The sequence below is a fragment of the Homo sapiens genome, chromosome 2, assembly GCF_000001405.40.
Source record: "Homo sapiens chromosome 2, GRCh38.p14 Primary Assembly".
Taxonomy (NCBI): Eukaryota; Metazoa; Chordata; class Mammalia; order Primates; family Hominidae; genus Homo; species Homo sapiens.
Window position 1 is genome coordinate 42,097,875 of NC_000002.12, and position 27,320 is coordinate 42,125,194.

The following is a 27,320-nucleotide window of genomic DNA, read 5'->3' on the forward strand; positions in this document are numbered from 1 at the left end:
GAAAAATCTGTTTCTTATTCACCCAGCATCCAGCAACCCATCTGACATGGAGTAGATGCTCAAAACATGCAGAGCAGCCAGGCGCAGTGGCTCACGCCTGTAATCCCAGCACTTTGGGAGTCCAAAGCCAGCGGACCACCTGAGGTCAGGAGTTTGAGACCAGCCTGGCCAACATAGTGAAACCCTATCTTTACTGAAAATAAAAAAAAATTAGCCAGGCATAGTGGTGGGCACCTGTAATCCCAGCCACTCAGGAGGCTGAGGCAGGAGAATCGCATGAACCTGGGAGGCAGAGGTTACAGGGAGCTGAGATCGCGCCACTTCACTCCAGCCTGGGTGACAGAATGAGACTCCATCTCAAAAAACAAAAAACAAAAACAACTTTCAGAGGTGCTACAGCTAAGTCTGCTGTGAATGTGGACAGCTGTACTTCAATGCTACAAGACACAGGAGCAATGAACCGTGAGCTTCAAAGGGTCCACACACTGATGCTCTTTCCATGACAAGATAAAAATAAGGCCACACTGAGACCTACCAGGTGCCAAGTACCTCCTGGCCCTAACTCCCCCCACCCCCACCAGGCTCCTGGCCTCCTCAATCCTCAAGGACTGACCACCTAGAAAATCTCTCTCCTTCCCTTCCCTCTCCTCTGCCATGCCTTTCCTTCCCCTTCTCTTCTTTCCTCTGCTGTTCCTTAAAGCCCTGGGGCTTCTGCCCCCAGAACCCTGAGGGGAAAGTCAAAGGGCTGAGGGAGCCCACCCGCTTCTGAGCAGTGCAATGAGGAAGTGATGATCAGAGGTCACTGTCTTGGTCAGTTCCTGTTTCTGAAGCAAAGATGCCAAAATCTGTTCCTTTTTCTTGTGAAAAAATATTGGGGTTTTGACTTTCAAAATTCCCGGAACCAATGCTGTCACTGTGAGTTGGCTGCGTTTCTGTCTGCCTGTGTCTGTGTGAAAGGTCTGCCAGGGCCTCCTAGGCCTGCTCCTTGTGGAGGAGTGTCCAGAGGCAATGTTGGAAGTGACATCTCATTCCCTGACGCTCCTGAGTCCCACAGACGCCCATCAGGCCGGTCTGAGGAGGGGCAAGTGCATCAGGACAGACCTGGCTCGGGTCTCCTATTTCCTCCCAGGGCCTGGCAGAGGACTTGCTCTGAAGGGAGCCCCTCCCCAGGCCTAGATCAGGCTACTTGGAAGTCCCTGAAGTGGTGGAAACTTCAGCAGGCCACTCGGGCTCAGGTGATGTGGGCTAAGTTGGGAAACTCCATCTCTGTTCTGCTTCCGAGCTTGAAGCCATCCTACCCTGGAGGCAGGCAGACAAAGCCACCACCATGCTTGCCCCCAGCCTTGGGCCAGGGCATACCTCCCAAGCCCTGGTTTTATTTGAAATGGCTGGACAACACCACTTCATGTAGAGATCATGGATCCATCCACCTTGTGGAGCCCTAAGCTGAGAAATGAGGTACACCAGCATGGGGAGCAGAGGTGGGGGGATGGTGGGCTACAGAAACAGGTGCAAAGCAACTAAGCCAAACTCAGAGCCTCAAGCCAGGGTAAGAGAGAGAGAGTGGGGGTTGGCATTGAAGTTAGTATCAAGGTGTGCAGTTCAGAGTGGTCTTGGGGAAGCGGTGGTGCTAGACCCTCTGGACTGGGCCCACCTCGGAATGGCAGGTAAGAAAGGGCAGGGCAGGGTCTGGGTAGCAAGTTCTCTGTGTATGCAGGAAGCAAAGATGAGAGCTTTCTAGCAAGTTTCACATCTGGCCTGTGTTTCCTCTGGTCTCTGCTTTCATTTATACTGTCCCCACCCAATTCCTTCCTCTTTCTCTCATTCATTCAACAAACAGGTGGTGCATTTACTGTAAGGCAAGCACAATTCTAGACAGCAGGTTTGGATGTGTATCCCCTCTAAATCTCATAATGAATCGTAATCCCCATTGTTGGAGGTGGGAAGGTGTCTTGGTCATGGGGGTGGGTCCTGCATGGCTTGGTGCTCTCCTCACCATAGTGAGTTCTCACGAGATCTGGTCATTTAAAAGTATGTGGCACCTCTCCCCCCATGCTCTCTCTTGCTCCTCCTCTGGCCATGTGAGATGACAGCTTCCTCCTTTGCCCTCCACCATGATTGAAAGCTCCCTGAGGCTTCACCAGAAGCTGAGCAGATGACAGCACCATGCTTCCTGTAAAGCCTGCAGAAACATGAGCCAATTAAACCTCTCTTCTTTATAAATTGCTTAGTCTCGGGTATTTCCTTATAGCAACGGGAAACTGGCCTAAGACAGTAGGTCCACAAAGTTAATAAAAGATTTAGCCAATCTCTGCCCTTATAGAGCTATTGTCAAGCTGGGGAGATAAGTTCACAAGCAAATATTCATGATCCAGTGTGAAAAGTGCGATCACGTGGCCGTGGAAGCAGATGGAAGGAGTAGAAGTTGCGGGGATCAAGGAATAATTCATAGAGAATAGACGCCATTGGAGCTGGAAACCAGAGAAGGGCAGGAGGGTGTCAGTACAGCAGTCTGCAGCGGGAAGGGTTTAGGGGTGCAGGGCAGATGGTAACGCCTCTCAAACGCCACTCTTGACTGGATCTGACATCCTAGTGGAGACTGATGGAGGAAAGAGATCATGGATCCATCAATCAGTCCCTGTTCCAAGTGCCAGGGGCCACCTTCCTAGCAGATGTTATAGGGGACCCAATCTAAGACCCTCAATTCACCTTCCCCTCTTCCACTTCCCCAGCCAAATCATGTTTTTGCTTGTGTCCGGGGGAAGCTGGGAGCTTTCTCAAGCTAACCCAACCCCCAGGTTTTCCATCTTCTCATGCCTCCACTCCCCAGTATAGTGTAAAGCGGCCTCCTCACTCAGGCCCAGGTCAAGACTGACCTCAGTGCCACCCTCCCGGCTCTGCCTCTAAACTTCACCCACCACAATGCAGCCAACAATCTCACAAGGGGCCGGCCTCTCTCTCAGGGCAAGCCTCATCCCCTAGAAGCCGACTCCGCCTGGCCCACCATGCCTGCAGCAGAAAGGCCTGAGGCTGGGCCTAGAACACTGAGGACGTCAGTGGCCAGGACTTTCCAAAGCTGAAACTGGGACCTGCGGAGGCCTCACTGTCCGGAGCAGCGTCCAGGTCCTCAGCATCCTCTTCGCTGGGCCCCACGCGTGTCGTGCGCCACCCCAGAAGGCAGGGCCTGATTCGGATCAGCAGGGGCTGCAGGGCCGCTCTGCAGGTGGGTGACTCAGGCCCCTCTTGAACCCTTAGGCCTGAGGCAGAGACTGGGCAGGAGGCTGGGCGTGGCCGGGGAGCCCCTTCACGTGCTCCCCTTCTCGAGGGTTCACGGGGCTCTGGAGGCCCAGATGCTGGCAAAGTGGCGGGAGCGCTCCAGGGACGAGGACTCAGGTCGGGGCGCCCCCGCCAGCGCCAGGATCCCCGCTCACCCTCCGCCGCGCCCCGCCCCCGCCCCGACACACTGGGGGAGCCCCGCCCTCCCCGAGGCCCGCGCGGCGCCGCAGGAGGAATCCCAGCCATTTCCTCCACGCTGCGCGGTATGTGGCCTGCCCGCCGCCAACCGCAGCGCGAGCCGGTCCCCAGCCGCGCCTGGCAGCTGCCCCGGCTCCGCCGTGCTGCTCGGGATTCCGGGAAGGCCGCCCCCTCGTCCCGGGCCACCAGACCGGCCTTTCCAGCGGCTCCAGGCCCGTGCAGTCCCGCCGGACGCCGGCTACACCACGCGCCGCTGCTGGAACCTCTCCCAGCCCCGCGTGGCCGCCCCCGGCCCAGGCACCCCCTCCCCGGAACGCCCCCGACGGCCCCTCGCGTCCGAGCTGGAAACTGAAGTTGACGCTTGCTCCGTCACCCTGGGGCAAATTGCTTTGCCTAAGCCTCAGTTTCTCCATCTGTGAAATGGGGACGTTGGCAGGAGTGCCTGTCTCGTTGTGCTGCCCGAGGGGTGAATGAGAAAAGGAAAGCGTTGGACTACTGTCAACGCGATTTTCATTTCCCTAGGTACCACGAGGGTCCTGGCTTTTCGCACAGGATCTTAGCACCCACCCTGCCCCTCGCCTCTCCTCCAGCCCAGTTGCCGGTGGAGCAAGCAGGCCGGGCTTTGCGAGTGGGCAGAGGAGAGGGCTGGGGCCTGCCCAAGACTGCGCCCTGCACAGATTAAACAATGCCTGAAGGTCCCACGACACAGCCTTCCTCGAGATTCACCGTTGCCCTCTCCTCAATCACTAGGTTCTTGAAAGACCCAAAGGACAGTTATTTACATTTTTTTTAAATGATGTCATCGCAGTCTGAGAGCAGCCAGACACGTAGTGATCAGGGAAAGTCGAAAGTGCAGATGGGTTCGCAAACGTGGACTCTCTAGTTTTGGGTCTGCAGATGGGGCCGGCCACCACGTGCTCTCTGAGTTCTCTTTCCAAGTACAGATCCCTCCGGAGACGGAACATTGTTCCGCCTTTAATTCTTCCCAGGAGCTGCGGAGGAAGGCGTGAGAACCGGAGCCCGGGGTGACTTGCGGGGGAGGGGATCGCTTCCCCGTCGCCCACACCTGCCTAACCCACGCCCACGGCGGCCGCAAAGGCGACACCGCGTGAATCTGGAAAGCCCCGAGTTTCAACAGGCCCAACCATCGGCGGCTTTGCAGGCGCAGCACCAAGTGCTGCTCTGCCTGTGTTCCCCCAGACAGCCCCTGGTTGTGATTTGTCGTTTCCAGTCCAGCTAGAGTCCCAAGGCCAAGAACTAGACCCTTGCAGCGAGATCCGCGCCCCCCCCCACCCCACCCCGCCTCATTCTCCACAGGCGCCACAGCCACAGGCCGCATAAATAAATCCAGGTGGAGGCAGACCCAGAAACCCAGGTGCTATAAATATCCCAGCCCAGCCGGGAGACTGACCTCCCAGGCAGCCCCTCGCCCCCACCCGCCCTAGACCAGCACTTCCGGCCACCACAGCGCTGAGGGCGGATCTCCCCGCGGTGGGAGGAGCGGGCTCCACCAGGATGCAGGCCTGGCTTCCCTTTCTTTCTTCTCCTGGGAGCCTCTGGCGGCCCAACCTGAGGGCTTGCCCTCTTCTCTGGAACCACCTCCCTAACTCTCAATCGCATACCTCTCCCTCCCTCCCCCTGGTATTTTTAGAGAGGCCTTCTCTCAGGGACCCCATACTGCGACCAGACTTCAAGAAATGCTGACTTCTCTTTCTAGATGAATAAGCATAGTTGGAAGGCAACAACCTCAATCAGAGTTTACAATCTAAAATTTGATTCTAAACTTTTTCTTTTTGAAACAGTCTTGCTCTGTCACCCAGGCTGGAGTGCAGTGGCGTGATCATGGCTCACTGCAGCTTTGACCTCCCAGGTTCAAGCGATCCTCCCATCTCAGCCTCCCTAGTAGTTGGGACTACAGGCGCTGTGCCACCATGCCCGCCTGGCTAATTTTGTGTTTGTTTGTTTGTTTGTTTTTGTTTTTGTTTTTTTTTTTGAGACGGGGTTTCACTATGTTGCCCAGGCTGGTCTCGAACTCCTGGGCTCAAGCGATCTGCCCACCTCAGCCTCCAAACATGCTGGGATTACAGGTTTGAGCCACTCTGTCCAGCCCTTGATTCTACATTTTTAATAGCATTTTTTATGTGATTAAAACACAGGCTGGAGGCAGAGTAGACCTAAAAGAGGGGAAAGAAGAAGCTGAAGGCATATGCAAAGAAGAGATAGAGCCACACTAGAAAAGAAAGCTGCTCTACCAGAAGGCTGGTACCTAGGAACTCAGTGGGACTTTCTGAGCCCAGTCTCCTGGGTCTGGGACTTGGTGTGGTGCAGTTCAATAAATCCCTATTGTGGGGGGGGGGCGGGGTAGAAAAGATGTGAGATACCTTTCCTCACCCTTCATAAGGGTCATTGCTATAGCAAAAGACTGATTAACAAGAGAAAAGCATAGCAAATTTACCGAATCAAAGTTTTATGGGACACAGGAGCCTTCAGAAATGAAAACCCAGTGACCCAGGGAAAACTGTCTATTTTTATGCCTAGGTAGAAATACACACTGTCCATTCTTCGTTGAACCTAAGCATAAAAATAGACAAAAGGATGCGATCTAATGGTAACAGACTGAGGGGAGAAACCCAGCAAGGCCTGTCTGTTCAGATTCTTCTTGGCCTCTCTGAGCAGCATTCCTTCCTCCTGGGTGTGGGGCAGGGGCTTTCTGGAGCACGGGTCTTATAACTCACAGTCAGAGGTAGATCAGAGAATCTCTTCATGGCCAGTGCCTACACAGAAAGGCAGGGGGAACTTAGAGTAACAGTTCTAGATTTTATGGCTTGCTTTGGGGGAAAGGGATTCTAGTTATTATGACCTGCCATAGGGAAGAGGAATTCTAGTTTCTATGAATTCAGGGAGAAGAAGGGGTGGGAAATAGGGCAAGAGAAGTTCAGAGAGAGATTTTACTTCTGAGACTGCTTCTAAGGCCTTCCAATCTCCTTTAGTTCAAAGTACTCAGCACGCCAAGGCATTATACTTTGACTTATCATTTTCTGAGCCCCAGCAAAATTTAAAACATAGTGAGTGAGTCTTCTAAACATGAAGTCACACCCCATTTCTGATGTAGAAGCTTACACTTTAGGAACTGCTACGGAAGCACTTTGCAAGCGCCATCTCACTGAATACTACTTAGAAGGAACTATTAACTCCCCGTTTTACAGATTAAAAATCTGAGTTTAGAGAGACTAATTAACTTGCCCGAGGACACCCAGCTAATAGGGGAGAAGTTTGAACCCACGGATCTGATTCCAGAGGTCATGTGTTAAACCTGTGCTGTACAATAAACTCTGCCAGTCTCTCTGATCAGAGATGGAAAGGACTCTATTGCAGTCTTCAGCCATCCTTCACAGTGAGGAAGACCTTCCTGTTACACTCACCTGCCTTTAGTCGACCTGAGTGATTGCATTCACATTGAATTCGATGGCTTTCCTGAGGGACCCAGGCAACCTATACTGAGGAAGAAACTATCCATAGGAACCGGATTCCAAATGAACTAGATGCAAGTCACCAAGGCCAGAGTCAGTCCTGGGCCAGCCTTTCCAGTATGATTTCAGGACCACAGGGCAGCGCCACTGGCATTTTTGCCAAAAATCAACCATAAAAGAACCATTGTGCTTAACACCAAACACATTTAATCCAAAAGTGTGCTTCCATTTATGCATGTCACTGCTACCTCACCTTGGTCCATGGTCCAAGGTGACTCAAATATGTATTTTATCTGGTACACCTAGCGTTTTTTTAAAAACGAATTAATTACCAAAAATTTTAAATTGGAAGATTATACCGAAATATCTGGATTTGTAAACAGTTTCCCCAAAACTAAAAATCTGGCCACACTGACCTGTATTCTGCAGTCTACCACAGGCTCCACCATCCCATCCTGTCTCTTTCTCTCACCAACTGCTTGGCCCACCCCTCCTCTCACACCAAAATGCAAATATTCCCTAAACAGGTAACTATTGAATCTAACTAGTCACATCGCAGCATGGAGATCTTATTCTGAGAGCTGGTTAAGGGAAATTAATTGAGGTAAATTACGGAGAGAAAGCATTGCTCCGCCAGACAGCGTCAGGCCATGGCCAGAGCACAGCAGAAAAGATTTCTACAGTTCTATAAAACCACAAGACGAGAAGTTGGTGTTTAAACAGCTGTTATGAAACTAGGGTGTGTGACAGAAACATCACCTGTTTCCCAAGAGCTCATCCTCTCACTTAATTCAGCAAACACCAAGCTTTTCTTAGCATCCTGGGCCCCCTTCCCTGCAACTCTTCTTTGGCAGTGCCTTGGGTGATAGTCAGAGGCAAAGTCTGGAGGTGATTAGATGGCTGCCGACTTAGGCTATAAGCGAGTCCAAAGGAATGGATCTGGCTTTTGATCAGGACAAAGCTACGTCCAGAGGAGAAGCTGAGTGAAGAGGAGGCACCAGTGATAAACTTGGGTTTGAGCAGCCAGGATGGAAGCACGATCTCATTCACCAAGATGGTGAGCAGCTGTGTTCTCTGAAACACAGACCACGTGAGCAAAAATTGTCTTCCCCCAATTTGGAGGCTCCTCCCGCCAAAGCAGTTTAATGGGCAGGCAGAGAGGAGGCAGAGTGAGGGAAGGTTTTATATGGAAATGTGGGAATGAATGAAAAGGCCTTACTTAAAAGGATCTATCTGATAGCCCTTGGGACAGCCTCAACCATCCCCAAATGCCTCTCTGGGGGGTGGGGAGGCATTCAGCTCTGTGGATATTTGAACTCCGACTGTTTTTGAAAGTCGCCCATGTGACAAATGTGTCAACAGAGCCCCGGATGTGCCCTCTGGGGTGGGGAGGAGGGTGGATGTGATCAAGTACATTTCAGGCTTTCAGAGAAACAGGAAATTCAGTAATCAGAGAGCAAAAAATCTATTCAATCTCTTTTAAAGCCAGTGAATAATGTAGCAGAGTCAGAATTGTCACAACCGCTGGGTGCAGCTTTGGAAAAGATGAAAGATGAGAGAATAGGAGAGGAGGAGGAGAGGCCCCTGCAGCTGGGATCACTCAGAGACACTCTCCTAACCTTCTCCTTCACCATCTGGTGGGAAGAAGGAGCCCCTGAAACTTCTCCTCGACCCCAACACTCACCGCCTCGCCACCATCATCTGCCTTGCATCCAAAGAAGCTCATCTCATCGTGCCTTTGCCCCTATTGACATCGGTCCTAAGAGCTGCTTGGTTCCCAGCTCACCTAATCTCAGCCCACGAATCCCCAGGAGGCTACGTATTTTCCCTATCCCGGGGCTTTCTTCCACCCTCCCCAACTCCTGAAACTCATCCTCCATGCCCTCTGGAGTCCACGATCCATGATTAGCAAAATCTGTTTTATCCTCAATCTATTCTCTCAACATCTGCCTCACTTCTTTCCCTAAGGGGCACCTGATTGTCCCCTGAGCTCACTGCTTTTTCCAACACCTTCTCAAGCAGGGGCTATTTTGTTCTCTCACAGGCTTCTCACTGAGAGGTGACATAGGTGTCCTTCTTACTCCTCATGGTCACTTTCAGAAATATCTCCCTCCTCCTCTGCAAACCCTTGCACCCCACATTGAATTTTATATCTTCAGATTACATAAATCACTACTGTCTTATCCTGATGCCCAGAGGTCATTTTTCAATTATTTTAGGGCCTGGCTAACTGTTTCTCTAATATGTACTGTCTTAATGCTTGGTGATTACAATGTACGCGTAGATAACCCTTTCAACACCTGAGCCTCTCAGTGCCTTGAACTTCTTTCCTCCAATGATCTTTCCTCTACTCAACCCATAATTGTGATTACTTACAACTGCAACCTCTCCATAATCTCAGTTTCATGCATTCCACTCTCTGACTGCAACCTCCTATCTTTCCAGTTCATCTCACACATCCCAGCCATCCTTTGACCCCATCCGAGCCATACACTGTTGCCTACCCTGTGATGTTCCTACTCCCCTACTGACCGTGTCAATTTCATGGTTCAGCCGTTATCATCATTGCCCCTTCTGTACACCTTCAGCTCTTTGCTTCTCTTTTCCTTTGTCACATTCACCTAGCCTGAGGCAGACTTAGTCAAATCCAACTCTGCACCTACTTCATACCTCCACATCTGCTGCTGAACATGGCTGGAGAACAACACACAGCCACACTGCTTGATTCACTTTAAATTCATGATGATGAAACTCCATGGGCCCTTAATGCTGATCAGGTCATCTTCCCTGATGCATTCATTCACTTTTCCTCCTAGACAGCAGTTTCATACCTTCTTTTCTCTTCTCAAACCCTTAGCATTTCCTTCCCACCCTTACTTTCAGCTGATAATTGTATTCTTTCTCCACTGGGAAAATAGAAGCAACCAGGAAAGAACTCTACAGATTCCCACTACCACATTTATCCCCTGACCAGAAGTTGCATCTTCACACTTTCCACCTATTACCTGCCCATCAAAGCACATTCCTCGACTTGTGCACACAATCCTGCCCCTTTCACCTACTCAAGGACATTACTCCAGCAATGCTTCCCTTTCTCTCTTCCACCAAATTCTCTCTCTCTCTGTCTCTGTCTCTACTGGATCCTTTCCATCAGTACACAAGCATGCTATTATTTCTCATATCTTAAAAAACAACAAAGTCTTTTAATGACTACTTCCATCAGCAGTGTCTGCCCTATTTACTCCTCTTTAGAGCAAAAAAGAATCATTTATACTTGCTATGTCCAATTCCTCTCCTCCAGTTCTCTCTCAAATCAACTTCAAATCAGGCTTACGTCCCCATTAGCCTACAGAGATTGTTCCTGTCAAAGTTATCATGACTTTCATGTTACTAAATACAAGGGTCAATTCTCAGCTCTCATCTTATTGATTAATAGCATCTGATATAACTGACCACTTCCTCTTCCTTGATACAGTCTCTTCACTGAGGTTCACCCCAGGGCATCTTACTCGCTTGGTTTTTTCCTGGTACCTCACTCCTTCAAACCTTCTTCGTCTTTTTTCTTCATTCCTCCTCTTTTCCCTGACCCCTAAATGTTGAAATGCCCAGGGCTCAGACCTCAGTTCTCTGCTTTTCCTTATCCACCTCTTTCGATGGTCTCATACAAATATTAATACATGATTTCCAATACTATCAATATTCCCATGACCCCTACATTTATATCTCTAGCCCCAGATCTCTTCCCTCAACCCTGGACTCACGTATCCAACTGTCTGCTGCACATCTCCAAATTCAACATGTCCAAAACTGAACTCTTGATCTGCTCCCCCAAACTTGACCTACCCACAGCCTTCCCATCACAACTGATGGCAACTCTATTCTTCCAGTTGCTTAGGCCAGAAACTTAGAGTCATCCCTGTCACCTGTCGTCCTTTCACACACACATCAGATCTGGCATCTGGCAACTATTAATACGACCTTCAAAATACATCCAGAATCCAACCACTTCTTGCCTCCTTTATTGCCTCCATCTAGTTGAAGCCGCCATCATCTCTCACCTAGTAGATTCTCGCCTGAATCTACTCTTGCTCTCAACACAGCAGCCACAGTGATCCCTTTTGAATGCACCCGAGAGGCCAGGCACAGTGGCTGATGCCTGTAACCCCTGATGCCTGCACTTTGAGAGACCAAGGAGGGAGGATCCCTTGAGCCCAGGAATTCAAGACCAGCCTGGGCAACATGGCGAAACCTTGTCTCTATAAAAAATACAAAAATGATCCAGGTGTGGTGGCATGTGCCTGTAAAGCCAGCTGATCTGGAGGCTGAAGTGGGAGGATTGCTTGAGTCCAGGAAGCTGTGGTTGCAATAAGCTGAGATGGGGCCACTGAACTCCAGCCTGGGCTACAGAATGAGACCCTGTCTCAAAAAAAAAAAAAAAAAGTAGTTTAGATCATATCCCTTCTCTAATCAAAATTCTTCAGTATCGCTGCCCCCCATTTCTCTTAAGGTAACACTTCAATAACTCCCATTTCTCTCAAAACTAAAGTCCTAGGTTGGGCACAGTGACTCATGCCTGTAATCTCAGCCATTTGGGAGGCCAAGGAGGGAGGATCACTTTAGCCCAAGAGTTCAAGACCACCCTGACCCTATGAAAGAATCAAAAAATTAGCTGGGCATGGTGGTGCATGGCTGTAGTCCCAGCTTCTCAGGAGGCAGAGGTGGGAAGATATCTTGAGCCAGGGATGATCATGCCACTGCACTCCAGCCTGGGCAATAGAGAAAGACCCTGTCTAAAAAAAAAAAAAGCTAAAAAAAGAGTTTACAAAGCCAAAATTGTTCTACATTATCTGCCTACTGCACCTCTCTATCTTCTTCTCTGACACTCTTCCTCACTCATTTTAGTCTCCTTGTTGTTCCTTAAACACATTAGGCATGCACTTACCTTTGTGTCCTTGCTCTAGCTGTAACCTCTACCTGAATACACCTGCCCCAGATATCTACTTGATGAACTTTCTCATTCCTGCAATGTTCAAATCTCACCCTCTCAATGAGGCCCACCCTGACCACCCACCCTTCCCCCTACTCCCTGACACTCCTGATCACCCTTAACCTGTATAATCTTGTTCTTTTTTGTCCTCATGGACAAAAGTCTAACATACTTTGTAATTTATATATTTGTTATGTGTATTGCTGATTATCTTTCTTCCCCCTCCCTGCAGGGATCTTTATCTATTTTGTTCACAAACCTATCCTAAATGACCAGAACAGTGTCTGGCGCATCATAGGCAGATAATAAAAACTTTTTGAATGAGTGAAAAGAATCCAGTCAGAGTGAGTTATTTCTTCAGTCATGGGAAGTGGCTGGGACAAGGGCAAAGGCGAAAACAGAACTAGAAAGAGCAACTAGAACCGATAATAAATGCATGGTTAGGGAGTAAAGTTAGGCAGAGTTGAAATGAACAACCGAATCAGGTATGTATAATTAACCTGAGGGAGAGAGAGAGCGAGAGAGAGATGAGATGAGATTTCCCATATGGTAGGTAATACAGCGACTTTATTTAGCACATATAAGGTAGATAAAGGCCTGGGTGAGTGACACTGGCTTACCCAGTTCCCATCACAGACAGTTGCTTTTTAGCTTCTCTACCAGCCTTTAGTGAGCCAATGACACAGTTCAACAGAGAGGCACCGGAGAGAACAAAGTCTAAAGAAGAAGACCCCAACAGTGAGTTCTTTGAAAAAGAAACTGCTCTCTTCTCCTATTTCCCCCAAATGCCTTCTCAGTAGAAGATTCTGCAGTAGCAGATATTTTGGGCAGCCCCCAGGCCCATTTCATCGGAGCCCTGTGATCACTGGACGCAGATGAGTTAACAGTGCTGCTTGCCTGGCTCCCAGCATAGCACTGTAACACCGGCCTGCCTTCCTTTCTCACAGGGATTGCAGCCTCCAGGCTGACTGCCAACATATCTTTCTTCCAAGATGCCAATGCTGTGCAAGGAGCCTCTGCACTCAGCACAAACCGAGTTAAAGGAGCTCCTAAAGCCCCCTAGACATTTTGGTTACAGACCTGCAGTGTTAGCTGTGTTGCTGCCCCGAGGGCTTGAGGCCAGAGCAGGGTCTGGGCCAGGAGGCCTTACTCGTCCTAGGGAAATAGAATCCCAGAGCCTTTTCAGTCTGGAGGCTTCACCTCACAACACACCCAACCAGCCCCAGGCATCTCTTAGTTGCCACAGGACTCCTGGCAGAAGTTCCAGCAGGTCCCTCTTGACTAGACCCCAGCTCATAAGAAGGACTCAAACCAAATCGCACTGCCTTTTGCCAAAACGGACTCAAACCAAATCAGCTATGCTTTTCATTTACGGTGTGCCTTTTCATTTAAAGCTGTGCCTTTCATTTCATGTAAGGAATATACGTGCATCACTGGCGATCACCTAGGGCTGAGAGAGCAGCCAATAAGCCTTGAAGTGGGGTAAGCCCGTATCATTTTCTCCATAAAATGGATAAGTTCGTTCATGAGAAAGGCATTCGTATTTGTGCAAACCAGGCATGACAGAGAGCCCTATGTGGTTCAGTGCAAGCAAAAAACACAGTAAAAGAAACAGCAGTCCTGCAGAAAAAAATGTAATTTAAATCCATTAAGATATTTACCCAGTCTCGAGGGGCGTGGTGGCTCACACCTGTAATACCAACACTTTGGGAGGCTGAAGTGGACGGATCACAAGGTCAGGAGTTCGAGACCAGCCTGGCAAATATGGTGAAACCCCGTCTCTACTAAAATTACGCAAATTAGCTGGGCATGGTGGCGCTCACCTGTAATCCCAGCTACTCAGGAGGCTGAGGCAGGAGAATCGCTTGAACCTGGGAGGCGGAGGTTGCAGTGAGCCGAAATCTCACCACTGCACTCCAGCCTGGGCAACAGAGTGAGACACTGTCTCTCATATGTGTGTGTGTATATATAAGTGTGTGTGTGTGTGTGTGTGTGTGTATGTATATATGTGTGTGTATATATATACGTATATATATGTGTATATATATATACATATCTATATATGTGTGTGTGTATATATATATATATATACATATATATATTTACCCAGTTTCAAGAGAAAAAAGTCAAAGGGGTAAGAGTATTCTTCATACACAGTCTAACATCTCTTTCTTCCACTCACAGTTGTCTTATTTTGTTCCTCTTCACTCTCCCAAAACTTAGCCCATGTTCCCCAGCTCCCCTCTGCACCTGCATCTGCCACACACGTACATACATACACACACTTCACATACATGCACGCATATATACAAACACACACACATATGCGCGCACACACACACACACACACACACACACTCTCTCTCCAGCCCTTGATGCTTTCCCCCTCTCTCTTCCTCCTGGACCTTTTCTTTGCTCCATTCCCAACACACAGGTCCCTGGTCTGTCTCTGGCTCCTTCCAAGCCTTGGCTCTTCTTAGGTATTATCCCCAGCAGCACAGCAGCAGACCAGCTGACCTGGACTATTTCTTAGGCAGTAGTCAGGTAAGCTGTACCTACTCATATGGAGATATTGTTTGATCCTGAGCCTCTCCTGATGTCTCTTTTTAGCCCCCAGGGGGAGGTTTTAATATCCACATCCACCAGCATCTTCTCCCTAGGGGAGAAGGGAGTGAGATGGGGAGAAGAAAGTGAGAGGAATCGAAACATGTCTAAGGAAACTAAGAGGCAGAGGTTATTTCGATCTGCTCTTTATAATCATCTCAGATGCCTGCCCTGGGCAATGTCTAGGTTATTACTGAATTCTGGGGACACTCCCATATTAGCCCAATGACTAATCAAAAAAAGCAAGCTGACCATAGTCAACTAGAGGGTAAGGAACCAAGTGAAAATAGAGAGAGTTCTCCGGACCTCTGAATCTGGGTACAATCATTCAGTATGAAGATAGGAGCTAGGAGAAGAGAGAAAACATGGAATTGTATTTTGATTGACTTTTTTCTGATTACAAAAGTCATATATGTTCAATGTAGAAAACCAGGAAGATACTGAAAAATACAAGAAGGTGTTAAAAAAAAAAAACACTTATGACCCCACCACCTAGATTTAATCAAGATTAACATGTTAGTTTACCTTTCCAGTGTGGTTTTCAATGCATATTCTTTTTAAAATCAAGTTAGAAACATAGTGTATATGCTATTTTAGAAATTCTTTCTCAGCTGGGCGTGGTGGCTCATGCCTGTAATCCCAGCACTTTAGGAGGCCAAGGCAGGTGGATCACCTGAGGTCAGGAGTTCAAGACCAGCCTGGCCAACATGGTGAAACCCCATCTCTACCAAAAATACAAAAATTAGCTGGGCATGATGGCACACACCTGTAAATCTCAGCTATTCTGGAGGCTGAGGCAGGAGAATTGCTTGAACTTGAGAGGTGGAGGTTGCAGTGAGCCAAGATCGCACCACTGCACTCCACTCCAGCCTGGGCAACAGAGAGAGACTCTGTCTCAAAAAATAAAAAAGAAAGAAAAGAAAGAAATTCTTTCTCATACATTACATCATAAATCTTTTCCCAAATCATTAAATATTCTTCTGCAATATGATTTGTTAAAGCTATATATGATTTTGTGCAATAGATATGCTATAATAGGCTTACCCAATTTTATATGGAAGAGCACTTACGCTGTTTCCAGGCATAGAATTCTAAATATGGCAAGGTTATCTGCACAACTCCTGTTTTCAGGCATGCTGACCTCCATTCCTTACAAGCAGATAATGATCCCTTTAAAGTTCTCTGCTCAAGAGAACCGTGCCATAGCAGAAGTAATTCTTCCCCAAGCGTTCAGCTGTCCTGTGTTCTCCAGGGAAAGCCTAGCATTGGGCGTTGGGCATGCTTGCCTCTAAATGGGAAGGCCAGTTCATTCTTAAGCAGATGGAGAGAAAGCATTTGTCATTCTAAATCCGGGAAGTAGCTCAATTCAATTCAATTGCATAATTCTTAAAAACATATTTTGCGCCACTCCTGAAAATGGTATTATAGAAGAAAAGTATGGTTTCTACCTTTAAGAAGATTGCTGACCGGGCTGGGCGCAGTGGCTCATGCCTGTAATCCCAGAACTTTGGGAGGCCGAGGCAGGCAGATCCCCTGAGGTCAGGAGTTAGAGGCTAGCCCGACCAACATGGCAAAACCCCGTCTCTACTAAAAATATAAAAATTAGCTGGGCATGGTGGTGCATGCCTGTAGCCCCAGCTACTCAGGAGACTCAGGCATGAAAATCGCTTGAACCCGAGACACGGAGGTGGTGGTGAGCTGAAATTGCGCCACTGCATTCCAGCCTGGGCGACAGAGCAAGACTCTATCTCAAAAAAAAAAAAAAAAAGAAGAAGAAGAAGATTGCTGGCGGGGTGTTGTGGCTCATACTTGTAATCCTAGCACTTTGGGAGGCCAAGGAAGGAGGATCACTTGAGCCAAAGAAGTCAAGGCTGCAGTGAGCTGTGATCACACCACTCCATGCCAGCCTGGGTGACAGAGTGAAACCCTGTCTCAAAAAGAAAAAAGAAAAGATTGCCATCTTCCTGGGGTGACAAACATAATTTTAAAAGAATCAGGTAGAAACATAGGACTGTATTTATGATGAAACAACTATGACTAAATGCTATGTTTTTCAGATTACACGTGCCTTAGGAAGTGAGAAAAGTATAAGTGCAATGTGGAATTGGGTGGTTGAGAAAACTCCAGAGAGGACCTGGTAGAGCTTGGAGGCAAGGTGGGCAAGGAACATTTCAAGAGGAGGGGACACTACAGCTGAGGCACAGAGGTGAGAAAGCACAGGAAGCAAGAAAGAGGCTCATCTGGCTGCAGCAGAGGGAGAAATAGTAAATTAGATCAGATAACTCATATATTGGGCACGTGTGCAGAGGGCCAAAAAGATGTTTGGCCTTAATTCTATAGGTATTCCCCTTTGCCATAGATGTTACACCAAGAAAGAACACATTGAATCAAGCAAATTTAAGCTGGGTTTTTGTTTTTGTTTTTTGGTGGTGGGGGGGATGATTTATAAGCAGGACTTCCCAAAGCTTTTAATATGCTTATATATGTGGCAGTGTTGAGAGGGGAAGATTTGATATTCCAAGTATTTTTGGCCACAGAACTCTTTTTATCATGGAACATTTCCAGTGTTCCATGAGACACAATTAGGGGCTAGTGAGCCACTGACTTTTGAGTTGGAAAGTGACACATGGGGAAAGCAAAGTTTTGGAAGATTGATCTCACGGTAGAATATAAGGTGAACAGGAGAGAAAAGAGCCTGGATTCAGGCAACACAATCAGATGATTGGATACAGGCTCAAGATTAGGGGGTGGGTTGCACTACACTGGAGCGGAGAATGGAGAGCAAAAGCACTGATTGAATGCACAGTCTTCTGTTGGATCCTGGGATGATACAGAAGTGTCAGAGTTCCTGGGTCTTGTAGGAGTTCCAATGAGCATCAATCAAAAGTTTGATTGTAAGGCACAGAAATCAACTTGGACCAGCTAAAGCAAAAAGACCATTTTTAGGGAAATAGGGATGTGTCACAAAGAACTGCATCTAGGTACTGGAAATCAACAAAAAGTTCCCCATCTGATCTCAGCTTCTCTGTGTGTCTACTACATACACTATCTTTCTCCTCTTTTCTTTCCTCTCTACCCCCTACCTCCCTCCTCTCTCTTTTTTTTTTTTTTTTTGTTTTTTGGTTTTTTTATGTTTGTTTGTTTGCTTTTGGAGACACGGTCTCCCTCTGTCACCCAGGCTGGAGTGCAGTGGCTTAATTACTGCAGCCTCAATCTCCTGGGCTCAAGTGACCCTCCCACCTCAGCCTCCTGAATAGCTGGGACCACAGGTGCAAGCCACAGTGCTCAGCTAATTAAAAAAAATTTTTTTTTCAGAGATGGGGTCTCACTATGTTGTCCAGGCTGGTCTCAAACTCCTAGGCTCAAGCAGTCCTCCCGTTTCAGCCTCAAAAAGTGCTGGGATTACAGGTGTGAGCCATCGCACTCCACCTTCTCTATAGTTACTGAGTTTGCGTGTTACACTGAGTTTACATCTTACATTTCTAGCCATATCAGAAACGACCTCTGCACCTCTCTTTCCCAATTTGAGATTTCTAATAGAAAGAATCTTGTTCACCCAGCTTGGGACTCATTGAGTTATGACCAGTGGGATAGATTTTAGAAGATAAACATGTCTATAGGGACTTACCGTGTGAATTAGTGGGGGAGCCGCTTACCAGGCAGAGGGGTCTGCTGTAAAGTGATACTGTGACTTTAAATTGAAAGTAAGCTTCTAGAAGAGTTGAAGAGGAGTGGATTATTGTTGAATGGATGTATAACTAATGAAGCTTTAAAGGAAGTTTATTAGAAAGTCCATGTCCTTGTCTCTTTCCCAAACTCCTTTAGTTCCCAAGTCCTGAAAGAATCTATGGATAAGGGAAGCAGAATACTATAGTGGTTAAGAGCACATGCTCGAGGTTAAACTGTCTGTATTTTGGATCCTGGCCTTGAGGACTTGGGCAAGTTACGTGACCTGCCTGAGCCTCAGTTTCCTCACCTGTAATATGGGTATCACGAGGAATAAATAAGGTAATATGTGTAAAGTGCTTGGCACAATGCTCTTGATAATGTTAGCAACATAATTTTGTAATGAAAATTAACTGATGGGGCTGAAATGTGCATCAGCAGATCCAAATATCCTTGATAAACTGGCCAAAAGAAAGATGAATTGGCAGAGAGGCAAGTGTTCATCTCAGTTCTCCAGATATCCCTGCAAATGTGGCCTCTGGAGTAGAAGATTTAGGGAGAAAAATAAGCCATGAAGCTCTTCTGGCACCAACATGAACTTCAGGGATCATGGGACATTTGGGCCAGTAACATTCCTCTTTGTTCCTAGAGATTTAATATCTACCTACCAACTAAATGGCCTTGATTTGGAGGAGAGAAGACAAGAAGAGGAATTGCTTTCAGCTGGTCCTTGCCTTTAACTAACCAGGGGTACAAAAATTTTAAAATACAAAGGAGACCATGTGTAAAACATTAGTTAAGCTCAGATATAAATCTAGTCTTTGACCAGTCCAGAGCTAATCAATATGCTTTTCTACTCTCTTTGAACTTTTGAGTTTTCTGGCAACAACAAAAATCCCAAACCTCATCCAAAACCGTAGTCCAGACAGCCCAGTTTCTGCACTCCCTTCCTTGTGTCACATATTGTTGACAGAACTACTCCCGTTACCACATTCATTCCAGTGGTGATTCAAATTCTTCTGCAGAAATGGACTTGAAAGACAGAAAACTGCTCCTGTAATCACTTAATAAGGAATCTTGGATGAGGAATACAGAGCTATGAATATGGATTTACTCTTAGCCTTTATGGATGCCTTTTTCTCAGTTATTTTCACTGAAAATCATGATGAACTGATTTAAATATCAAGGTAAACTGAGATGGAAAATTACCGATAATAAGAGTTTTCTGAAAATATAGATTGGCCTCTTTAAAGCACATCGAGTTTGTTTTGTTTAAATTACAAATTCACATATATTTGAAATGTGTTTAAATGTGTCAGTTTTAGGCAAAACTAAACTATTTGATTCCTTTCCAAAAATCAGGAATTTGCTTTGGAAAAAAACCATGCAGTTTGATTTACAAAGCAGAGCGGGGGGGAAGTAGTGGGTGAGAAAGACCCACCCAAAGGCTGCAGCCAGCTTCCCCAGGAAGATTCATAACCATGCCACAATACTGTCCTTCAATTCGTTCCAACAGATTTTACTATAACTCTAAATCATTAGAAGCAACTGCTGCTATGACTAGTGCTATCTTTGCCTCAAAAAGAGGAAAAATCAGGACATACAATATAATCCCCTCAGGATCTAGGAGAGAAATCAGCCCATTTGTCATAAGAACTGAAAACCTCAGCTAAATAGTATATGAAACATTGGTATTTCATACCTTGACATTACATATTTTTGAAAATAAAGTAAGCATACACACAAGAAGTGGCTAGATGCAGCAGTTATAAAGTGGCTTAAGTTGGGTTAACTAAATATAACCTAGAAAAACCATCTTATCTATTGCAAATTATTTCCAGAAAAAGGTAAGAAAAATCCAACCAACACTTTTTAAACATCCTGAGCTATTCACAGCAAGTGAATCTTTACCCTTACCAGATGTATAAACATTTACATAAGGCAGGAGGTTCAACACTTGGAGAGTGTAATCAAGGCAGTAGTAACGCAGTGCTCCTCTCTTTGACTTGAATGACTTCCTCCCCATTAGGGTCATTATTGTTTTGCAGTGTCCCAGGGATGAAAGGACTTTGAAAGGTCATGTGTCTTGTGACCCAACTAGCAGCATCAGCATCACTGGGGAGAAACTCAAGCAGAAGCTTGAGTCTACTCCACTCTTGCTGACACCAAATCTGCATTTTTACAGGATTCTTGGGTGAGTCACACACATATTCAAGGTTAAAATATGCCACCCTAGGTCTTTCTCCTGCTTCTGAGCAAAACTGGGCACAAGGGACAAACTAGTTTCCTTCAGCCACTTTCAAATCCTTTATAGAGTGTACTGTGTGAGTCACTGAGAGGAAAGAGGAAATAATACTTATTTAGGGAAGTCTTGCATAACTTAACAAAGTTAGTAACTTCTTCAATACACTCAAGTACCTATTTTTGGAAGCCCTACAGGTTAGGTCAAAGTAAAGAGAAGCAAAAAATGGAGTGAGTTCTAGTAAAAAACTCTGACAAAATAAGGGAAGTGTAGAAGCTGAGTCTATGAGGGATGAGAGAAGCAATTTACCAAATTATCAGATCCAAAATCATCTCTGCACTGTAGATGATTTATAGCCCTGGAAGCTTAGAGGCTTGAGTCTCTTGCTGTATTTCATTTCAAATTAGTAATTTTTATCTAGGGCTTCCCTATGGCTTAAAGTGAAGGCCCTGGAATTTCTGAAGTGAAATTATCTGATGATTTTTATGTATGGTCATTCTGTAGTTATCCTGTAAGTTTCATATTTGTAACAAGACTGGAATCCGAACAATAGAAAACTCTGTGGCAGTAAGCCAAAACCTGATGGACTTAGGAGAGTTACGTATGTGTGTTTCAGTGGTCCTCAAATTCAGCTGCCTATTAGAATCACCTGGACTTTGAAAAAAAAAGAGCTTTCTTGAGGTATAACTGACAAATAATAAGACAAACATATTTCAGTATACAATTGGATGAGTTTTGACATGTTATATTCTTGTGAAACCATCACCACAATCAAGCTATTCACCCCCCAAATTTTCGTGCCCCTTTGTTGTCCCACCCTTCTTTCTGCAACCACTGATCTGCTTTCTATCACTATGGATTAATTTGTATTTTCTAGAAGCTTAAATAAGTGAAACCATATGGTGTGCATGTTTTGCAGGGAGAGGGCAGGGGGAGCTGGTTTCTTTCACTCGGTGTAATTGTTCTGAGAGTCATCCGTGTTTGCATGTGTTAATAGTTTATTCTTTTTATCGGTAAGTAGTATCCCATTGTGTGGATGTACCACATGTTGTCTAACCATTCACAACTAAAGGATACTTGGGTTGTTTCTCATTTGGGGCAATTGAAAATAAGCAGTATAAACTGCTATAAACAGTCATGTACAGATATAAGCATGTATGTTTCCATTTTTCAAGGTAAATACCTAGAAGTGGGTATGGTAAGTGTATGTTTAACTTGAAAAGAAACTACCAAAATGTTTCCAAAGTGGTTGTACCATTTTGCTTACCTACCAGAAATGTGTAAGAGTTCTAGTTACTCCACATACTTCCTAGCAGTTGATATTCTCAGTTTTTTTTTTTATTTTAACCGTTCTAATAGCTGTGTAATGGTATTCCATTACAGTACTAATTTAAATTTCCCTAATAACTACTGAGGTTGAAAAAATCTTTCATGGGCATATTTGCCATCCTTGTATCTTCTCTGGTGACGAATCTTTCATGCCTTCTGCTTATATTTTAACCAGGGTTTTGTTTTGCTTTTTCTTAACTGTTGAGTTTTAAGAGTCTATATATACTGCAAACAACTCCTTGGTAAGATATATGATTGGCAAATCCTTTCTCCTAATCTTTTTATTTCCTTAACAATGCCTTTCAAGAACAGAAATTCTTAATTTGATGCAATGCAATTTATTAGTTTTCTTTTTTCTTTTTTTTTTTTTTTTTTTTTTTGAGACGGAGTCTCGCTCTGTCGCCCAGGCTGGAGTGCAGTGGCGCGATCTCGGCTCACTCCAAGCTCCGCCTCCCGGGTTCACGCCATTCTCCTGCCTCAGCCTCCCGAGTAGCTGGGACTACAGGCGCACACCACCACGCCTGGCTAATTTTTGTATTTTTAGTAGAGATGGGGTTTCACCATGTTGGCCAGGCTGCTCTCAAACTCCTGACCTCAGGTGATCCACCCGCCTCAGCCTCCCAAAGTGCTGGGATTACAGGCGTGAGCCACCATGCCCAGCGTATTAATTTTCTTGCATGGATGGTGCGTTTGGTGATCTGAGAAATCTTTACCTAACCCAAGGTCACAGAGATTTTCTCCTGTTTGCTTCCAAAATTTTTATACGTTTAGATTTTATATTTAAGTCTATTTTGAGTTAATTTTTGTATATAATGCAAAGTTTAGAATGATGTTTAGTTTTTTGTCTATAATCTATGAATATCCAATAGTTCTAGCACCATTTATTGAAAAGACTGATCTTTATCTACTGAAGTGTCTTTGCACTTTTGTTGAAAGTCAATTGACAATTGACCATATATTTGTGGGTCTATTCTGGATTCTCTATTCTGTTACATTGATCTATTTTTCTATCTCAATACAAATATCAAATTGGGTATTTGTATTAAGACAAATATAATTTGTCTGGGTATTTGTCAAGACAAATAAAAATTGTCTTGATTACTGTAGCTTTATTGCAAGTCTTGAAATCTAACTTTATTCTTTTTCTAAGAAAAATATGAATTCTAGATTAAGCTTGAATTTTAGAATAAGTTTGCCAGTTTCTGAGAGGGGAAAGCCTACTGGAATTTTGATGAGGATTGCATTGAATCTACAGATCTATTAGGGGAAAACTGACATCTTAACAATATTGAGTCTTTCAATCCATGAGCACAAAGTCTTTTTTCATTTTTCTCAGCAACGTTTTCTTAGTTTACAGATCTTACAGCTCTTTTGTAAGGTTTTTATCTAAATATTTAATTATTTTGTACTATCATAAGTGTTATTATTTATATAATTTTAATTTCCAAGTATTTATTGAAACCATTTAGAAACAGTTGATTTTTTATATTGATCTTTTATCCTGCAGGCTTGTTAAACTCATTTATTAGTTCTGTAGCTTTTTTGTAGAGTCCATCAAATTTTCTACATAGAGAGTCATGTTATCTGAGAATAAAAACAGTTTTGCTTCTTCTGCTCCAATCTTAATTCATTTTATATTTTTTTCTTGACTTATTGCACTGGCTACAACCAGTACAATGCTGAATAAATATAGTGACAGTGGATAGCCTTTCTTTGTTCATGGTCTTAAAGGAAAAGCATTCAGTCTTTCCCATTAAGTATGATGTTAGCTTTAGGTTTTTCATAGATGCCCTTTCTCAAATTAAAGAAGTTTCCTACTTTACTGAGAGTTGCTTTATTTAAAATCAGAAATGAGGCCAGTCACAGTGACTCACACCTGTAATCCCAGCACTTTGGGAGGCCAGGGTGGGAAGATTACCTGAAGTCAGGAGTTCGAGACCAGCCTGGACAACATGGTAAAACCCTGTCTGTACTAAAAATACAAAAATTAGCTGGGAGTAGTGGTGCATGCCTGTAGTCCCAGTTATTTGGGAGGCCGATACAGGAGAATTGCTTGAACCTGGGAGGCAGAGGTTGCAGTGAGCCAAGACTACACCACTGCACTCCAGCCTGGGCAACAGAATGAGAAAAAAAAAAAGAGAGAGAGAGAGAAGGAAAGAGAGAAGGAAAGAAAGACAGAAAGACCAAAAGAAAGAAAGAGAGAGAGAGAGAGAGAGAGAGAGAGAAAGAAAGAAAGAAAGAAAGAAAGAAAGAAAGAAAGAAAGAAAGAAAGAAAGAAAGAAAGAAAGAAAGAGATCTTGGATTTTGTCAGATTCTTTTTCTGCATCTATTGAGATATTCATATGGTTTTCCTTTTCGGCCTGTTACTGTGGTGAATCACTGAGTGACTTTCAAATATTAAACTAACCTTGCATTCCTGGGCTATGGCTATAATGTACTATCCTTTTATATATTGTTATATTCTATTTGCTATATTTTCCTAAAAATTTTTGCATTTATACTCATGAAGGATATTAGTCTGCAGTTTTGCTTTCTTGTTATATATTTGTCTGGGTTTGATATCAGAGATCAGAGTAATATCAGTATTGTAGGCACCAGTAAATATTTCCTTATAATGCTTTTTATTTTTATTTTTTAAATTTTTTTATTTTTGAGACGGTGTTTTGTTCTTGTTGCCTGGGCTGGAGTACAATGTCACGATCTCAGCTCGTTGCAACCTCTGCCTCCCGGGTTCAAGCGATTCTCCTGCCTCAGCCTCCCGAGTAGCTGGGATTACAGACACACACCACCACACCTAGCTAATTTTGTATTTTTAGTAGAGACAGGGTTTCACCATGTTGGTCAGGCTGGTCTTGAACTCCTGACCTCAGGTGATCTGCCTGCCTTGGCCTCCCAAAGTGCCGGGATTACAGGTGTGAGCCACCATGCCCAGCGTACAATGCTTTTTTTTTTTGAGACAGAGTCTCACCCAGGCAGAAGTGCAGTGGCATGATCTTGGCTCACTGCAACCTTTGCCTCCTGGGTTCAAGCGATTCTCCTGCCTCAGCCTCCCCAGTAGCTTGGACTACAGGCACACGCCACCACACCCGGCTAATTTTTTGTATTTTTAGTAGAGATGGGGTTTCACCATGTTGGCCAGGCTGGTCTCGAACTCCTGACCTCAGGTAATCTGCCCACCTCAGCCTCCCAAAGTGCTGGGATTACAGGTGTGAGCCACTGCCCCCGGCCATGGCTGGGATTTAAACCCAGGCTTCCTAAGTCAAAGTTTATTGCTGTATATATATACAGGTTTTTTTTTCTTTTTTCTTTTTTTTTCTTTTTTTGAGGCAGAGTTTCGCTCTTGTTGCCCAGACTGGAATGCAATGGCATGATCTCGGCTCAACACAACCTCTGCCTCCCGGGTTCAAGCAATTCTCCTGCCTCAGCCTCCCAAGTAGCTGGGATTACAGGCATGCGCCACCGCACCCAGCTAATTTTGTATTTTTAGTAGAGATGGGGTTTCTCCATGTTGGTCAGTCTGGTCTCGAACTCCCGACCTCAGATGATCTGCCCGCCTCAGCCTCCCAAAGTGCTGGGATTACAGGCATGAGCCACTGCGCCTGGCCAGTTTATTGCTATTTTTTAGCATATCATAGCTACTTATATTTTGTTCTGTGACATGTGTTTATTGACTTGGATTCTGTCTGCATTTCTCTTTTGTCCCCTGAATACACTGTTTTGGGTTGTGGGCAGGAGCCCCATCTAACCCAAACCTTATAATTTTCACTGGACCTACCGCACTGTCTGTACCCAGAAGATGATTCTAGGGTTTTTCTTTTTCCTTTTGAGAGATCTAAGTATCTGGGTTTATCTGACCACATAGTATTCATCAGTCTGCCTTTTTCATGGTCCCTCCACAATCTAAGATTTAAATCAGGCTGTAATTAACTCTAGCACACAGGCTTTTCTACAGAAACCTTCCCAGGCTGCACTGTCAGCCTGCTTCTCTCCATTAATGCATGCCATTGGCAGCCAGAAACCAGATTTTGCCCTGAGCTACCCACACAAGTTTGAGGCAAGATTATGGGTGAAGAAAAGCTTGGGGTGGATGCATCTCCTATATGTAAAGGCTGTTTTGTTTGAGTGATTCCAAGTGCTGGTACACTATGATTAATTAACTTGGTTAAGGATTAATTCTTAAAAATCAGGAATGATTTGAATCGTTCCTCCAAGTGAGTTGCTCAGCTGCCTCCAGGGAGAGGATCAGTTGAAAAAAGTGGACAATTAATGTCTTAGAGATGACATTATCTCTTTGACATTCCATAGAGATAAAGAGAAAGGCTAATGAGGCATCTCTTTGACACACACTTTCTCTCTCTGTTTTTATTTATTTATTTATTTTTGGTTCACAGGTATCCTCAGCCCTAATATAGACTAATAAATCTAAGCCTGTAAGCCTGTGAGTTTGTTTCTTTTCGTAAGTATTCAGCAATGCAAATCCTACCCCCAAAACTGTCTTCTTTGACCCATTTCCTGTATTCCTGTATCTGTTATCTTCAGATCTCTCCACCTGACTGTCCTCATTATTGAAACGTCATATTTTGACCTCAACACTTCATAGTTGCTGATGTGACTTCCTCTATGTTTGAAATGTTTTCTCAGTTACTGCCCTAAGTAAAAAGCAAACACAACAAGTTACGGCTTGGCTATCCTTTTTTTTTTTTTTTTCCAAAAAAGAGCTATTTATTACTAAGACAAGTCTACAACAACACTAAAAGTATTCAAAAAGAAAAACATCAGTCATATTTCTGCCACTTACCACAACCACTTTCTTTTCTCCCAGATTTTCTTCCAGTCTTCAGTCAGATATAGAAATATTTTATGTAAGCATAATTATAATGTTCATGTAATTTTTGTGTTCCACTTTTTGTTTAACATCACTTAATAAACACTTTCTTGTCCTTACATAGTCTTCCTAATGATCTTTTTTTGTGGCTTCGTGGTTTCCCATGGATATGCCATAACTTGTTTAATCATTTCCCCTGCTGCTACGCATTAAGTTATTTCCAGTTTTTAACTATTATAAGTGGTTCTTTTTTTATTTTTTATTTTTTGAGATGGAGTCTCGCTCTGTCACCAGGCTGGAGTGCATGGCATGATCTCGGCTCACTGCAACCTCCATCTCCCTGGTTCAGGCGATTCTCCTGTCTCAGCCTCCCGAGTAGCTGGGACTACAGGCAGGCGCCACCCCACCCAGCTAATTTTTGTATTTTTAGTAGAGACAGGGTTTCACCATGTCGGCCAGGATGGTCTTAATCTCCTGACCTCATGATCTGCCCACCTTGGCCTCCCAAAGTGCTGGAATTATGGGCGTGAGCTGGCCATAACTATTATAAGTGGTTCTTCTATAAACATCTAGTGCATGCAAAGATTTCTTTTCTTCTTTTTAATTATTTCCTTTGTAGAAATGTCCAGGAGGGCTGTTGCCATGTTGAAGGGTTTGAATGATTTTCAGGGATGATGAGCTCTTAAAAAGGCAGTACCACAGAAGTTCATAACACATGTTATA

The 27,320-nt window shown here is 45.0% G+C and overlaps 10 annotated features.

Annotated features, from left to right (window-relative positions):
• Positions 1,088 to 1,407: an enhancer, noted in NCBI's record as "active region_15638". NCBI's record gives its function as "activates an Ori minimal core promoter by ATAC-STARR-seq in GM12878 lymphoblastoid cells {active_cell/tissue: GM12878}" and the evidence as "EXISTENCE:reporter gene assay evidence [ECO:0000049][PMID:35858748]".
• Positions 1,598 to 1,657: an enhancer, noted in NCBI's record as "active region_15639". NCBI's record gives its function as "activates an Ori minimal core promoter by ATAC-STARR-seq in GM12878 lymphoblastoid cells {active_cell/tissue: GM12878}" and the evidence as "EXISTENCE:reporter gene assay evidence [ECO:0000049][PMID:35858748]".
• Positions 1,778 to 1,867: a silencer, noted in NCBI's record as "silent region_11399". NCBI's record gives its function as "represses an Ori minimal core promoter by ATAC-STARR-seq in GM12878 lymphoblastoid cells {active_cell/tissue: GM12878}" and the evidence as "EXISTENCE:reporter gene assay evidence [ECO:0000049][PMID:35858748]".
• Positions 3,131 to 3,210: an enhancer, noted in NCBI's record as "active region_15640". NCBI's record gives its function as "activates an Ori minimal core promoter by ATAC-STARR-seq in GM12878 lymphoblastoid cells {active_cell/tissue: GM12878}" and the evidence as "EXISTENCE:reporter gene assay evidence [ECO:0000049][PMID:35858748]".
• Positions 3,391 to 3,770: a silencer, noted in NCBI's record as "silent region_11400". NCBI's record gives its function as "represses an Ori minimal core promoter by ATAC-STARR-seq in GM12878 lymphoblastoid cells {active_cell/tissue: GM12878}" and the evidence as "EXISTENCE:reporter gene assay evidence [ECO:0000049][PMID:35858748]".
• Positions 3,391 to 4,700: a biological region, named in NCBI's record as "H3K27ac-H3K4me1 hESC enhancer GRCh37_chr2:42328443-42329270".
• Positions 3,429 to 4,256: an enhancer, noted in NCBI's record as "H3K27ac-H3K4me1 hESC enhancer chr2:42328443-42329270 (GRCh37/hg19 assembly coordinates)". NCBI's record gives its function as "activates a minimal SCP1, AML or CMV promoter by ChIP-STARR-seq in primed H9 embryonic stem cells {active_cell/tissue: H9 hESC(primed)}" and the evidence as "EXISTENCE:reporter gene assay evidence [ECO:0000049][PMID:30033119]".
• Positions 4,181 to 4,700: an enhancer, noted in NCBI's record as "active region_15641". NCBI's record gives its function as "activates an Ori minimal core promoter by ATAC-STARR-seq in GM12878 lymphoblastoid cells {active_cell/tissue: GM12878}" and the evidence as "EXISTENCE:reporter gene assay evidence [ECO:0000049][PMID:35858748]".
• Positions 8,455 to 8,504: an enhancer, noted in NCBI's record as "active region_15642". NCBI's record gives its function as "activates an Ori minimal core promoter by ATAC-STARR-seq in GM12878 lymphoblastoid cells {active_cell/tissue: GM12878}" and the evidence as "EXISTENCE:reporter gene assay evidence [ECO:0000049][PMID:35858748]".
• Positions 26,381 to 26,581: a silencer, noted in NCBI's record as "peak3676 fragment used in MPRA reporter construct". NCBI's record gives its function as "represses an SCP1 promoter by STARR-seq MPRAs in K562 erythroleukemia cells {active_cell/tissue: K562}" and the evidence as "EXISTENCE:reporter gene assay evidence [ECO:0000049][PMID:32103011]".